Source organism: Homo sapiens, chromosome 11 (genome assembly GCF_000001405.40).
Source record: "Homo sapiens chromosome 11, GRCh38.p14 Primary Assembly".
NCBI classification, from domain to species: domain Eukaryota; kingdom Metazoa; phylum Chordata; class Mammalia; order Primates; family Hominidae; genus Homo; species Homo sapiens.
In genome coordinates, this window is record NC_000011.10 from 121507650 (window position 1) to 121523931 (window position 16282).

The 16282-nt window shown below is 43.0% G+C and overlaps 1 protein-coding gene across 1 annotated transcript in view; it reads left to right on the forward strand.

Annotated features, from left to right (window-relative positions):
• Positions 1-16282, forward strand: part of SORL1 (sortilin related receptor 1) — a 181450-nt gene that overhangs the window by 55336 nt on the left and 109832 nt on the right. Inside the window, exons 7-11 of the mRNA NM_003105.6 lie at positions 5354-5455; positions 6503-6672; positions 13008-13200; positions 14937-15054; positions 15267-15340. Of these exons, the coding sequence (NP_003096.2) occupies positions 5354-5455; positions 6503-6672; positions 13008-13200; positions 14937-15054; positions 15267-15340 (657 nt within the window). The remainder of the gene's footprint in view (positions 1-5353; positions 5456-6502; positions 6673-13007; positions 13201-14936; positions 15055-15266; positions 15341-16282) is intronic.

The following is a 16282-nucleotide window of genomic DNA, read 5'->3' on the forward strand; positions in this document are numbered from 1 at the left end:
ATTTGATGAGGCATTGTTCTCATACTGTCCTTTCATACTTTATACATGATTTCTTTTAGTCCTTTGAACATATTTATAATAGCTTATTTAATTTTTTTTTTTACTTAGTCTAATGTCTGAGCTTTTAAGGACAATTTCTACTGACTACTCTTTTTGTTTGTGTATAGGCTATACTTTGTTGTTTCTTTGCTTGTCCTGTGATTTTTTTTGTTGAAAACTGGACATTTTAAATGGTGTGGTACCTCCAAACCACTGACACCCCTTCCTCAGGGTTTTGTGTTGTTGCTGTTTGTTGTTGCTGTTTTTGTTGTTGTTGTTATTGTTGTTCAGGGAGTTTCCTGTACTGCTATCAAGTTTGTGTTCTTTATTGTTTTTGCTACTGAATTGTCTCGTAATTTAGCTTATTGGTCAGCTAATGATAAGACAGAGATTTTCTTAAACTCTTTGAACCACTAAGTCTCTCAGCCTTTGCTAATGGCCTCTGGGTGTGTGTTAGGGTATACCTTCAATGCTTTTGCAGGCAGTTTACAACTCTGTCCTAGCCTTCACTTCCTGCTTATGTAGAGCTTCAAGATTAGCTGGAGGTAAGAGACTAGACCCCGTTCATTTCTTTCTTGAGCATACTCACGGCTCTTATGTGCTTGACCTTGTAGAGTCCCAGGAATACTCATCTAGAGCTTATTAAAGCCTCCTAAGGGCATCTTCTTCCCCATTTTTTCCTTTTAAGCTTTTTAGTTAGCCTCTTTTTAATTCCCAATTGGTAATACTGTCTTCAGAAGTTACAGTGATAAGCCTTTGCTAATTTTTATTCACTATTTTCAGTAAATGCCTTGGCTGGCTATAAGGCTGTCTATATCATGAACCAAGTCAGGCTATGTAAAGACAAGAGCTGATAATGCAGCCTTCCTGTGAGCCCCCAGACAGGTCAGGCTTTTTGGGAACTCCAGACCTATTCTGTCCTCTCCAGTGGCTGCCAGGCTGCTGTTTTTCACAGCTATTGTAGATGTGAGGCTGTGGGTTTCCAAGGCTACCACAGAGCTAGAGAGAGGGGGATGGGATTAGGGCAAATGAAAACATCACAAAGCTGGCTATTTTTGCCAAGATTCAGCCATTGTTCTTGAGTAAATGTGCCTTGGATTTTTGCAACCCTTTATTTCATTTGCAGAATTCTGAAAAAGTTGATTTTGAGGATTTTTGTCAGTGTTTTTCTTGCTTTTATGGATAAGTATATTTTTAGAGTTCCTAGAAATGCTTCCAATTAATATTAACTTTGTAAACTTTATTATAGGCATTTTCCAACCTACACGAAAGAACAGTTAATGCTGATATGACCTCCCCACGTGCCCTCACCAACTTCAATATTACTTACCTACATTTGCCAACCTCTCCTTAGCTATCTACTCACTACTTTTTTTTCCCCCTGGAATATCCCAGATGTCAGATTTTAGCTATGTTTCATTTATGATTTTTTTTTTTTTTTTGTAAACAACATTAAGGTGGATGAGGATGTTTTGCTGAACCTTTGTTGCTGCTCCAAGGGAGGATGTGACCCATGGCTCTGGTGCTTCTGAACTAGTGGCCCTGTGCTTCCCCATGCCTTGGGAGGGCTTAGTTCTTTACCCATTTTCTCTAGCTGAGCTGCCATGCAACTTTCAGTGGGATAGCTCATTGCAGTATCCTTTGGCCTTTACTTGATAAGAATGTCCTTTATTTAGTTCCTTTACTCCTCTTTTCTCCTTGATCCTCCGTTTCTTTTTGCTCTTGACACAATCTCAAATATAAATGGAAATTCAGGTTATTCAGATACCTAGATGAATTTATTTATTTAATTATTTATTTTTTTTCTGAGATGGAGTCTTGCTCTGTTGCCAGGCTGGAGTGCAGCGGCATGATCTCGGCTCACCGCAACCTCCGCCTCCTGGGTTCAGGTGATTCTCCTGTCTCAGCCTCCCGAGTAGCTGGGATTACAGGCATACTCTACCATGCCTAGCTAATTTTTCTATTTTTAGTAGAGACGGGGTTTCACCATGTCGGCCAGGATGATCTTGATCTCTTGACCTCGTGATCTGCCCACCTCGGCCTCCCAAAGTGCTGGGATTACAGGTATGAGCCACTGCACCCAGCAGAATTTATTTTTAGTTATCAGAAATGAAAACACAAAATTAAAAAAAATCTTCTTATAAATTCTCAGACTCTATAAGATTGAATTAGATTCAAATATTTAAATCATTTCTACTAGTTGATGAAGTTTGTGCATTTGTGGATGTATTAGTTGGTACAACCTTTCAGGAGGGCTATTTCATGATAGCTATCAAAAATACAAATTTTGACTTAATAATTCTTCTAAGACTGCATCCTACCAATGGTATTGTGCAGTTCTGAAAAAGTAATAAATACATGCTTATTTATATGTGTGTGTGTTTAAGAATGTTTCTGGAAATAACTAAAGTGCCCACCAATAGCTGTTAAGTGGAAAGATGTCTAAGATACATTGCCAATGATAAAATTTTAAATTGTGGGACAGTAAGATACACTGTTAATGGAAAAAGTTAAGTAATACAACAGCATTTATATCATGATCCAAATTATATGTGAAAAATTAAATTGCCTCTGTCAGTTTAGAACTATATTAGGTTGCTGGTAATAGACTAGAAATAAAAATTGCTTAACCAAGTCAGGAGTTTAGTTTTCTCCCCCTTGCTGCCTGGAGGTAGGCTGTCTTGGGCTGGTATGTTGGTGTCCTGATGTTCTTGGGGATCCAGGTTTCTGTCTTAATGTTCTGCCATCCTGACTAGTGATTTCCATTCTCAAGATTACCTCATGGTTCAAGACATCCATACTAGCCTTCAAGTCCTTATTGCAGTTAAGAAGAATAAGGAAAGACAGCAAGTAGGACCTCTTCCCACCAATTCTGTCTGTTTAGGCAGCCTTCTCAGAAATCCAGCACGAAACTTCTGTTTTTATCTCATTGACTAGTACTTAGTCACGTGACTTCCCATAGGTGCAAAAATGGTAGAGAAGTGCAGTCATTTATTCTGGGTGGTGTCAGAGTCCCACTGCTCAGGAGGAAAGGGATAATGGGTGTTGGGGGTAGGTGTAGCAGTGTCTGTCACTATGTACATATGCTTGCATGTGGTGGCACAGTACATTTCTGAAAGGATGCACAAGAGCTGTTAGCCACTGGGCACTCTGCAGGGTAGAGTGGGAGGAGGGATGTGGAGATCAGAGCAGAGCTTCTGCATTTACCTTATACCCATCTGTGCTGTTGGATATTTTCCATGAGTATGCTTTGCTTTTTAATAATAGTGATAAAAAACAAACCAACCCAAAACCTATGGTTTATTAAGAAAAATCTCAGAGCCTTACAATACATCTTATAATCACTAGTGTGCCATAGTTTAATTGTTAATATATTTCTTGGTGGAAGTAAAACAATACAGTAACTCTTTAAAAATCCATTAAGAATGAACCTGAATTGTCCAGGTTTAGGAATAATTCTCCAAGAAGGTAGTGGGATCGATGCATTTTGAGATTTTTTTTTTGATGATTGTAGTATTCTGTGATTTTTGCATTTATGAGGTAAGACTGACCTGTGAAATATATTCTTAATACTCAGGCCTCCCAGCAGCAATCGTTAAGTATTTTTAACTAATGATGGGCCTGGGTGTCATTGAGAAATCACTCTTTTTAAAGTTATACTCACAGTTGGAAGTCGTAAAAAACAAAGCATAAAAATGTATATTTCATTGATATGTTCCTCTATATATTCACAAAAATGTATGTGTATAGGCTGACTTAAACTAATCATCTGACATAGCCATGACATTTTATCAACTTAATGAAGGCTTTTGGAATTTATATGTAACAATTTTGCTGGGAACTGTTTTCTTATTCAGTTAATATGCTTTTACATTTTTAATAGATCCATCATTTCCTACGGCCCTATGTTTAGTACAAGCTATTAATATGGTTTTCAGGTTTCCATTTTGGTGGGCAGTCTTTCGTACCTCTCTGCCTGATTTCTTTAAAACAAACTACTTTTAACCATTTGTTCAGTGGTGATTTGAATGTCTGCTGCTCAAATGGATTAAAAGTAACTTTGTCTTTATCAGCTGGGTCCTCACAGTATTTATGGGGCATGTTTGAGCACAGGGTACTGAATCGTTATATTGCAGATAAAATAAATGGATATGTTCCTTACTCTATAGGAAGTTAATATCTATAATAAACAGCAACCTAGTCAAGGATAAGTGAAGCCAAAGTAACCCCTCTGGCTGGGAATCCCAACATCTCAATATGTTTAATAGTCATTTGTATGATTATGTCCACATGAGGGTATGCCTCCCTGTGTCTTTCCTGATAGATATGCAACATTTGCCTTCAGCTTCTGGCCATGTTCTTTTAGAGCTGGAAGAAACCACACAGAGTTTTTATAATAGTTCTTATCCTTTTTTGAGTGGTGGACTTTCTTGAGAATCTGATAAAACGTACGGAGCCTCCATAGCAAAATAAATGAGTGTATATAAAAAAATTTGCATATATGTTTACAGGGTTGCTGGACCATTTAAACCCATCTACAGGGAAGTCTTGATCCAAATAAGCTTCTCCTTTTGTATATGAATAAACTGAAAGCTAGAGAGATTTCTATCATTTTCTCAGTTGGTAGAGCTAGCTCTTAATCTATGCTTTTATACACATTTCCAAGATTCTTGCTGTGACTTAAAAATCTCTAAAATGCAATGTGATGTGGTCAACATCATGTTGAATACTCTACCAATGAATATGTATTCTAGCAAAAGACCTTCCTCAATGAGATTATTCAGAGATGGAAAACCAGAATCAATGAAGATTCTCTCAAGTCTTGGTGCAAATTAAAACCTTGTGACTGGAGCATCCTTGTAATCTAAAAATAGGAGTAGAAAGAAGAAAAGAACATGTTTTGTGTGCATGGTGTGTGGCTGATCTCACCCTTTAGTGGTTTGGGGGCCGTAGGCTCCTCCCTGCGTGTTTCTTCAGCCTCATCACACAATCCTCTTTCTATCTCTTACTCTGTTGAAGTGTTGGCAGCCTCCAAAAACCTCCTCTAGTCCAAGTTCTACCATCATACCATTTCCTTATCTAATATCCATGGAGTGTCTAGTGTCTGTTGCAAACCGGGTATCTAAGATGAAGCAGTACAACCCAAACTGCCCAGTGATGGCAGACATTGCAAAAACATGAATTTGCAATCACAGTCTCTATTTTGTGTTTCCAGTAGAACTGGAAGAATCTGACTCTTCTATTTTTATTTTTGCTGCTTTTGAATGACTGTAATGTGGCACCATTAATTTTTTTTTCTCCTCTTCCTTGGCAGCATCTCTTGGGCAGTGAACAGCAGTCTTCTGTCCAGCTCTGGGTCTCCTTTGGCCGGAAGCCCATGAGAGCAGCCCAGTTTGTCACAAGACATCCTATTAATGTGAGTGGGGTCTGCTTGAGGATGGGAAGAAGTATCATTGTCTTTATGCAGAGGTCAGAGGAAGGTTGTTGCAGGGATGGCCTGCTGGAGTGGATATTTTATGGCGCCTCCCTGAAGTCAGGTCTCTAGAGAGTGCAGCTATGCTTTGGGCATCGTGGTCTGTGGTTCCCACTTCACTGAAGCAGAGCTGAACGAGAGACTTAGTTTGCTTTAAGTGGAGCAGCACTGGCAGAGAGAGGTTCGAGCCAGAGTCAGTGCCATCTGAGCAACGTGCCAGTACTGAAGCAATGGGAAGTTTGTGCATGATAGGATCTTTTTTTATTAAGTAACTGCTGGATTGCTTGCAGGGGATGAATTCCAGCAGAGGATAGGATTTGGGTCCCACCTTTTAGAAACAGGCTGGAGAGACTAAAAACTGAGTAGCAGAAGAAACCAGACATAAGCAAATGCTTAAATATGCAGCTTTATAACATGAAGATGGATAGGAAAAGTCTGCATGGGATGGGTCATTAGAGGAGCTGCCACAGGGAGACGGTCACAGTGAAACGTCTTGACATTGGCAGGTGGTTTGGTGAAAGGTAAGTAGCTCACTTACTTACCTTCCACCAAATGAGTGGGATCATACGGAGAACAGTCATGCCAGTCCTTTGCTAGTTTCTATGGATTCTGCTTTCCTTTGGTCACCTTAGGAAAAATAAAGGGAAGTGCATTAACCCGTATTGTACTTTGTACGAATGAAAGTTCTCATGGGAAAATGAGGGAGACATTATTAACGGAAAGAGGTTTGTAGGTCATTTGTGCAGTGCAGTGGCCCATTATTTTGTGCCCCATTTGCCAGTAAGGGGCCCGCTAAGCTGCAGATCTGCCTCAGGTTCTCCAAAGGGAAAGTCGCCAAAGCTTCTTTGCCAAGGTTAGGGAGCTTCCCGTGGGCTTTAGGCCAACATTCATCGCTAGAACATTTGAAAGTCATTGCTTCCGTGTGTATAGTAAAAGCCCACAGGGCACATTTGTTTTTTGACGTATCTTTTTTGACTTTTGATTCCAAAGGAATATTACATCGCAGATGCCTCCGAGGACCAGGTGTTTGTGTGTGTCAGCCACAGTAACAACCGCACCAATTTATACATCTCAGAGGCAGAGGGGCTGAAGTTCTCCCTGTCCTTGGAGAACGTGCTCTATTACAGCCCAGGAGGGGCCGGCAGTGACACCTTGGTGAGGTAAGGAGACTGTGAGTCCTTCTCCTGCCTTCTTAGGCCAACACAACCATTAGCTTCTCTCTGGTTCTGTGGTTTTCAACATTAGCTGCCCATGTGGATACACCCGGGGAGCTTTCGGAAACCCGATGCCTGGCTCACGTGCGCAGAGATCACCATGGGATGGGTTTGGGGTGTGGCCAGGTTATGAGGATCTTAAGAAGCGCCCTAGGTGATTCTTACGTGCAGCCAAGTCTGAGAACTACAGCTCTAGGTAACATTTAGGGTCCGAGCTACTGTGTTAATCACTTCCTTGAGCTGCTTTTGTTCAGTTTTCTGGTTTTGTGGTTTCTGAGCAGTGAAAAACAGCACTTGGTAAATATCAGTCAGTGAGAGCTGGCATATGCGGCCAGTGGATCAGGTTAATTGATGTCATTACTCTTTTTAAGAGATAATCGGACGGTGTTTTGTAAAGAAAGGCACCAACGTCATTGATCCTTTGTCTGTAAATCATGTGTTTAGAGCTGTTTTGTAGTCCAGCAGTGGGCGGTCTCGGAGCACCACACCCATCAAGGGGTGGTGGAGGAGTTGGGGGTTTGGGAGGGATGAATTGGTTCTTAAGATCCGTTCAGGGCCATTTATTCTGATTTGTCGTTTGACAACCAGACTTGTGTGACCTGTGTGGCTGTGGTTAGAGTCCCCTCTGCTCTTGGAAAGAGTCTCCCGTGTGAAGCTGACTGGTCTGGGGTGGGGTCTGGCTCTCCAGCCATGACAACCAGGTCTGAGGGCATGCCCCTGTGCCCACTGTTTCTGGGCAATTCATTCCGTTGTCAGTTTATTCACAGGTATGCTGCTGCTCTCTGCCAGACAGTGTTCTAGGTATAGCCACAAAGTAATGTATGAAGCAATAAAATATCAGAACAAAGTCCCTCTTCCATGGAGTTTGTATTCTAGTTGGGGAAGATAGAATATAAGCAAATATGTGATCTGCCTGGTAACATGTTGAAAAGAAGAATAAAGCAAGATCAGGGGATGGGGATTTGCAACGGTGTTCTTTTATTCTATTGGCTGCTTCAGGAGGGGGACATTTAAGCAGGTGCCTGAATTACATGAGGGAAGGAACCAGGCAGACCCCTGGGGGAGTAGCGCTGCAAGCAGGGCAGACAGGAAGCACAGTGACTCTGAGGCTGGACTGCACTGGTGTTTTAGGAGCAGGGAGGAGGCCAGGGTGGCTGGAAGGGCTGCAGAGAGGGAGAGAGAAGGAAGAAACAGGACCTAAGAGAGCAGGGCTCAGATCCTATAGGGCCTTCAGGGGCTTGTGAAGAACTTTGTTTTTTTCTTTTTTGTTGTTTTTGTTTGTTTGTTTGTTTTTGAGATGGAGTCTCGCTCTGTCGCCCAGGCTGGAGTGCAGTGGTGCAATCTTGGGTCACTGCAACCGCCGCTTCCTGGGTTCAAGTGATTCTCCTGCCTTAGCCTCAAAAGTAGCTGGGATTACAGGTGTGCACCACCAGGCCAGGCTAATTTTTATATTTTTAGTAGAGACAGCACCATGTTGGCCAGGCTGATCTCAAACTCCTGACCTCAAGTGATCTGCCCGCCTTGGACTCCCAAAGTGCTGGGATTACAGATATGAGCCAACACACTCAATCCTGTCTTTTCCTTCGAAATGAGATGGAAGGTTTAGACCAGGAGATGGACATGATCTGATTTAACCTTTCAATTTTTTTCCGTTAAAATCTGTGAATTGCATTATATAATGAAAAGAATATAACACATAAATGGATAGTGTTCTAAATAATTATAAGTGAGCACTCATGTGGCTTATCTTTTACAGGAGTTATCCTCAATGCTGTGTGGGAATTTGACTACTGTGACTACTGTAGGGGACAAAGGTGGGAACAGGAAGACTAGTTGTGAAAGTATTGCAGAGATACAGGCCAGTAGGGATGGATGTTGGCTGGACCCAGGGTGGTCACACTAGAGACGCTGGAAATGGTCAGACCCTAAATATATTTTGAAAGTAGAGCCAATGGGATTTGTTGATAGATGGGACGAGGGGTACGAAAGGAGGAGGAGCCAGGGGACTGCTACTGCTTCACCCGAGCTGCCTTTAAAGAGATGGCCACACAGGGAGTCAGGGAGAGCTGGGGCAGGGGCAATATTGGGGGGAGATCACCAGCTTGGTTTGGGACTTACCTGGTTGGAGAGGCCTATTGGATATCCATGTGCCCAGCCTTCTACCTGGCCTCTGACAGTGCTTTTCCACTTCCTGTTTCTTCTCTTTTGGAGGTGCTGTCATCTTTTATTCCTTTCCTCCCCTGACATAGACTCATGGATTAATTATTATTTAATGTGTTATAAACCATTCCTGCCATGATACATTTTGATGCTCAGCTTGTCCTGGTTTGGTCAGTGGCGGACCCTACCTCCTTCTGTTTGGTTCTTGTCGTTTTTTATTGAAAAAATTATTTACTGGCCGGGCATGGTGGCTCACGCCTGTAAACCCAGCACTTTGGGAGGCCAAGATGGGTAGATCACGAGGTTAGGAGATCGAGACCATCTTGGCTAATGTGGTGAAAGCCCATCTCTACTAAAAATACAAAAATTAGCTGGGCGTGGTGGCACGTACCTATAGTCCCAGCTACTTGGGAGGCTGAGGCAGGAGAAATGCTTGAACCTGGGAGGTAGAGGATGCAGTGAGCCAAGATCGTGCTACTGCACTTCAGCCTGGGCGACAGAGCGAGACTCTGTCTCAAAAAAAAAAAATTATTTATTGAGGTGAAATGTATATAACATCAGCTTAACTGTTTTAAAGTGGGCAATTCAGTGGCATTCAATACATTTACAATGTTGTGCCACCGCCACCTCTGTTTAATTTCATGGCCTTCTCATTTCTCCAAAAGAGAACCCCATGCCCATTAAGCCGCTTCTCTCCACCGTCCCCTTCTCCCAGCCCCTGGCAGCCGTCAGTCTGATTTCTGTGTCTGTGGATTTTTCCCTATTTTACAGGATGTTTCATATAAATGGAATCATACAATAATATGTGACCTTCTGTGTCTGGCTTCTTTCACTTAGCCTAATGTTTTCAAGGTTCATCCGTGAGTACCATATATCAGTGCCTCATTCATTTTAATGGGTGAATAATATTCTCCTTTTAAAAATAATTAAAATAATGAATCACTATCCCTCAGACCTTTCACTGACTCTTTAATTTTTCTTTTTTCACCATTGAAAGCCCCTGGCTGTGGAATGGAAAAGTCACAGCTTGCTAAATATTTTCTCGTCTTCCTCATTTGTCAGATATTCAGGGTGAATGTTTCATGCTGGGACAGAGTATGAGCCAGAAGCCAGAGCGATGGCCCTTTACAGAGTCATGAAGGCCTCCCCTCCTTGCCTGAGCGCACAGTCCAGTGAAGAAACTGGAAATAGATTCACGTCAAGAGTCATAGGCCAACGTCCCACTCAGTTTTCTCATTGTTCTCAGATTTTATCTGAGGACTAGAGAGGTTCCATTATACTCAGTTGAGTGATGTTTTGTCATCTGCATCTCAATCTCAGCCAGGTGAAATGGGATAAAGGTGAATTAGCACATCGTGTGGGCAGGCTGGTTTAGAGTAAACTGCTATGTGAAATGAGCAAGTCTTTGAACTGAATAGGAAAGAGTGGTGTCTGGGAACTGCTTCTGATTTACTCAGAGACATGGAGAAAGAGCTCTTTCTAGGGAATGACCCTGGCCCTGGTGGGATGTGCCAGGTGGGAGTCTCATGGAAAGCACTAGCTAGATGTTGGATGCTTTGGAGGAACTAATGTGCTGAGGAGATGTCAGCCCCGTGGGTCACCTTAGGGAGGGGCATGGGCCCAGTTGGTGGGGGTATTGCCAGGGCATGGATTCTGCACTGAGTGGGGCTATAGGGGACCTGGTGAGCTTCCTGGTAAGCCTTGGCCCAGGGCACTCTGGGAAGAAGGGGAGAAGTGCCCTGGGGAGGGCCAGTGAGGATAAAATGGAAGAAAGTAGACCCTCAGAGAAAGTACTTAGGGTGGGGCAGATTGTTGCAGGGCAGGTCAAGTGGGGGAAAGGAAAGGATGGGCTGGGACTTCTGGTGAAGGAGCATGTGAGGTACAGGAAGACAGGCTTCTGCTTAGAAGTAAAAGATAAAACTCCAGGAATCCGACTCGGGAAAGAAACAGGGCTCATCTAAATGAGAGAAACTCAGGCCTCCCAGATATCTAGAAGAAGCCCATAACCAGTGGGATGACAGGTTTATGATGATAACCCTCAGAGAGGTAGAGCAGAGGTCAGCAGAGAAGGAGGAATCGAGACCTTCAGCTGGTTCCTAAGGAAGCCCCTGAAAAATAACTGAACTAGACCTAAGGAAACCACATGTCAGAGAATTTGGTCTCAACTCCAGCATTTCATTCGGCACTCTGCTCAGTCCCTCAGCCTGAAGCTGCTTTGGTGGGGCTCCTAGTGTTCCTTTTCCTGCCTCAGAGGTTGTTGTTTGGGTCTTTCTGTCTGAGGTGGCAGGGCAGTCATCCAGCTGAAGAGATTGTGTGGAGATGGTTGATGGAGGACAGCGTTTCTCGGCTTTATTGTGTAGCCGGTGGCTTAGAACCCCTGAAGTAAAGGGCAAGCTTCCAGTCTTTTTTCTTTTTCTTTTTTTTTTTTTTTGAGTTGGAGTCTCGCTCTGTCACCAGGCTGGAGTGCAGTGGCACGATCTCAGCTCACTGCAACCTCCGCCTCCCGGGTTCAAGCGATTCTCCTGCCTCAGCCTCCCAAGTAGCTGGGACTACAGGCACGTGCCACCATGCCCAGCTAATTTTTGTATTATTAATAGAGATGGGGTTTCACTATGTTGGCCAGGATGGTCTCGATCTCTTGACCTTGTGATCTGCCCCCTTCAGCCTCCCAAAGTGCTGGGATTACAGGTGTGAGCCACCATGCCCGGCCAAGCTTCCAGTCTTAACAGCCACCTATGAACCCTGGTTACAATTTCTCAGAGATCCGCTCTATTTGTAATGCGTGTATCATTTTAGCGCAAAACCACTTCCCTGTGGCTGTGGCATCAGGGTATCCGCATGGTAGATAAAGCCTGGGAAACCCATATTCTCTCTCTCTTTTTTTTTTTTTGAGACGGAGTCTCGCTCTGTCGCCCAGGCTGGTTGGAGTGCAGTGGCGCGATCTCGGCTCACTGCAAGCTCCGCGTCCCGGGTTCATGCCGTCCATATTCTCTTAAGAATATAACCCCAAGCTTTCTAGAGCCATCCTTGCTATATGTACAGTTTCTTTAGGAAAGAATCGACAGGTTCTGCTGAGCTTCCTGACAGAAAACCCTGTGGGCTTCTATCTGATCAGGGTGTTGGATAATTAGGTTGTAAGTACCTGGAGAGGGGCTGTGTAACCCTGAGCTAGGTTCCTACAGATTGGGTTGAATTTTAAGCCTCAGCACTGTTATTAATGTCTTGCAAGTCTGACTTAATGATTTCTGTTTTTGAAGGCTCACTGGAGGATTTGGAGTCAATTTCGTTAGTGATGTAATAGATGTGACTCTTTCGTCAACTTTTGTATGTTATATTCATCATTCTAAACCCCCTGTTAGGAATTGTTGGTCAGACAAGCCTTTTGACCCTAAAAGTTGAAAAGAAACAAATTTTTTAAAATAGCAGATTATCTGGCTGGACATGGTGGCTCATGCCTGTAATCCCAGCACTTTGGGAGGCCAAGGCAGGTGCATCACTTGAGCTGAGGAGTTCAAGACCAGCCTCGGCAACATGGCGAAACCCCATCTCTACCAAAAAATAAAAAAAATTAGCTGGGCATAGTGGCACACACCTGTAGTCCCAGCTACTTGGGAGGCTGAGGTGTGAGGATCATTGAGGATCATCTGAGTCTGGGAGGTTGAGGCTGCAGTGAGCCATGATTGCACCACTGCACTCCTGCCTGGGCAGCAGTAAGACTGTCTCCAAAAAAAAAGGAATGAAGTTCTAACAATGTGCTATAATGTGGATGAACCTTGAAAGCATTATGCTAAGTGAAAGTAACCAGATACAAAAGACCACATATTGCAGATTCCATTTATATGAAATGTCTAGATAGGCCAATTCATAAACACATGGAGCAGATGAGTGGTTTCCAGGGCTTGGGAAGGGAAGAGGAAATGGAGAGTGACTGCCAGTGGGTATGAGGTTTCCTTTTGGAATGATGAAATGTTCTGGAACTAGATAGTAATGATAGTTGCACAACATTGTGAATGTGCTTAATGCCACAAAATTGTATACTTTTAAATGGTCAAATTTTATGTTATTTACAATAACAAGCAAATACCAATTCAGGTTCATAGCTGTTTATTTTCATATTGTAGGTATTTTGCAAATGAACCATTTGCTGACTTCCACCGAGTGGAAGGATTGCAAGGAGTCTACATTGCTACTCTGATTAATGGTTCTATGAATGAGGAGAACATGAGATCGGTCATCACCTTTGACAAAGGGGGAACCTGGGAGTTTCTTCAGGCTCCAGCCTTCACGGGATATGGAGAGAAAATCAATTGTGAGGTATTGATGCTTTAATCTTCTTTTGCTTTTTAATATAAAGGAAAGAGCCCTGCTCTGTGGTAGTTTCCTATGTCTAGTATTTATTGAAAAAATACAAGATCACATGGTATTCTATTAATATCACATGGAGCAGACTTCTATTTGTGTTGCTACACTTGCAGTTCCCAAACTCTGCTCCAAGGTCTTGCTACCACTTCTGGGCAGAAGCAACTCAGAAAAAAAAAAAAAAAAGTAGTATTCGTTTTTAGTACTACTTGTTTAGTTAGACCATTACTTGGTCTTTTGGATTTTTGAATTTTGTTTGTCCATGGTGGGCTATGTGGACACTCCCCTATATAATGTATCTGTGGCCCTTGGGAAAATTCTTTTGGAGACTCTTACCTTAGAATTTACTTCTTGGTTTTTCTTCTCTATTTGGCAATGGGTCTTGGCTTACCACATCAAATCTAATTTTGGAAAGAGGCAGCCTATAAATGGATATAGACAAATATCTGGGTACTTCCTCTTCCCTCAATAGTGTCTTCTACAGCAGCTTGGTGAGATCCTGGGATAGTTGGGGCTTGGGTGTTTTTGAGCGTGCTGTGGGGGTCAGGCTTTAGTTAAATCGAATTAATGGTATCATTCAAATTCAGCTTTCTGTTTCCCTGACTAATCAGTTTATTTATGAACTGTCGTTCATCAGCTTTAGGTATAGGTTTCTTCTTCTGAGTTTAGGTGGTGGAAGGAATGTATAGGAAATGGGTAAGTCTGATTACCTGAGGTTACAGAAACTCTTCAATGAATAGACTTCCTTGCAGGCAGAGAAGCATGAGTCAGAAAGAGGAGTGAGCAAATAAATATTTCTTTGAGACCCAGCCTAATTTGTTCCAGTTTTCATTGGTCAAACTGAGACTCTAGCAAGACAGATACTTGTTAGAGATCCTTTTATGACAAAAATAAGTAGCAAATAATCCAGCAAACCTTGCTACCATTTTTACCTGACCATAACCACATAAGCACATAGTCCTCCTGTGCAGAACCCTGGCCACATCTGAGTAACATTGAACAAGCTCTTTCTGACCAGGAGAACTGAGTGTGACCATATGGCAAAGGGTGTTGTCCTGATTGCTTGCAGAGCTATGAAAATCTGGACATGAGTGATGGAGGCCAGACTGAATCGCTTGAAGCCTTGCCCTGTATACCTACACCTTTGTGCAAATGTAAAATACATAGGAAAAAATTTAGTGCTAATCCTTTGCTTTTTATATCTCATTGATACTGTACATCAGGGGAGCTTTTCCATGAGACTTATGACTTCTGATTCTTGGTCTTTCTTATGACAGAATTGCTGGAATCATGTTTGAAATATGTCTCTGACTTAGAAAGTGAATATGACAAAATCATTTCATTTCTCTTTAGTTCTGAGTCACTTGAGAGGATCTCTGAGTGATAGGATGAGATGATGACTTTCCCATCTACTTGAGTTGACACTGATTTCTAATTGTTATTCCCTGAGAGTCTCAGAAGGCCTTTTTAAGTTGTAATTGTTCTCTTCTTCCACGGGACATTTATGTGGGTTCAGATGATCCTCTCTGTCTGGGGGGTGTGGGGACAGCTGGGCTGTGAGTCTGGTTTCCCCTGGGCCAGGCCTCCTTGCCCCGTGTCAGCTGCACTCCCCTCACACAGGCCGCAGGGTTTACAGGGAACGCTAGGCATGGTATCATGTGCTGACACTGCCTGAAACTTTGGTTGTATAGCTTTCCCAGGGCTGTTCCCTTCATCTGGCTCAGCGCCTCAGTCAGCTCCTCAACCTCCAGCTCCGGAGAATGCCCATCCTGTCCAAGGAGTCGGCTCCAGGCCTCATCATCGCCACTGGTAAGTGTGCTTGCCTGTTCTCAAAAGGGGTTCAGCTGTCTGGTGATGTGCAGGCCAAATGCAGAGCGATCACCCACACCTCCAGCAGTAACCACGCTTTGTGGTTTGAAAGCATTCTTAGTTGCTAGATACTACGCAGAATTTCTGGCTGGGCAAGGTGATTATCTGACATATTCTTGAAATTAAAAATAATTATTTCTCTTGCATTTTAGGCTCAGTGGGAAAGAACTTGGCTAGCAAGACAAACGTGTACATCTCTAGCAGTGCTGGAGCCAGGTGGCGAGAGGTCAGCCCCCTCCCCCAATCCCGTCCCCTCCACCCTCATTCCCATTTGTGTGAGAATGTAGACTGTGCCTTGGCATTTCAGGGACACAAATGGTCCATGGCAGAGACCAGTAATGCCAGATATGACTATAAAGTAAAGAAAGGTACCTGAAGCCACTGATTTATATCCACAGTTACTTTAAATTAAACACAGACCTTTGCAAATGTGTGAATTTTACTGAACATTCTAAGATTATGAGTTCTATGAGGGCAAAGACAATGTCTGTTTTACTGACTTCTTTATCCTTAGGACCTAAGAGTGCCTGGCATGGAGTGGGGGCTCAGGGCATATATGCTGCATGTATCAGCAAATTATAGCGTAGTGGTATTAGCCCTGAAATGGGCTGCTATTATTATTATTATTTTGTATATTATTGAAGTTGAGATGAAGCCTGTCCTTGCTGGGCTATGTTGTATAGGCACTTTCGTCTCACTCTGTGCTATGGAAGTAGACTCTCTTTTTGCCTTAAGGTTGTATAACTAATATCGATGCTGATTATACCAATTCCTAAGACAGGGCTAGTTCCCTAGTTCCAAAATGCTAATTCATCTTCATCTTTGGGCATTAGAGAATTTCCAAACTTGTAAAAAAAAAAAAAAGTTGTTGCCAGCCTCCCATTGATTAAGGCCAAGGAAGTGCGTTTGGTCTCGTTCTGTAGGGGTTGCTTTCAGGGGTGACCCTCTAGTTATGCCAGGAGCCACCAGGGTAAAACCCAACAGATCACTTGACAGGATGAGCACCTTGTCATCGAGCAGCCCCGCAGGCTGGGCAGCCGGAACAGCACGTCGGGAGTGATGTGGAGTTCTCAGAACAGCTAGCAGACATAGTTCCCATCCACGTGGTGCTTTACTGGGAATGCACCATGCTCACCTTGATATTTGAATAGGTAATATGTAAAGCAGT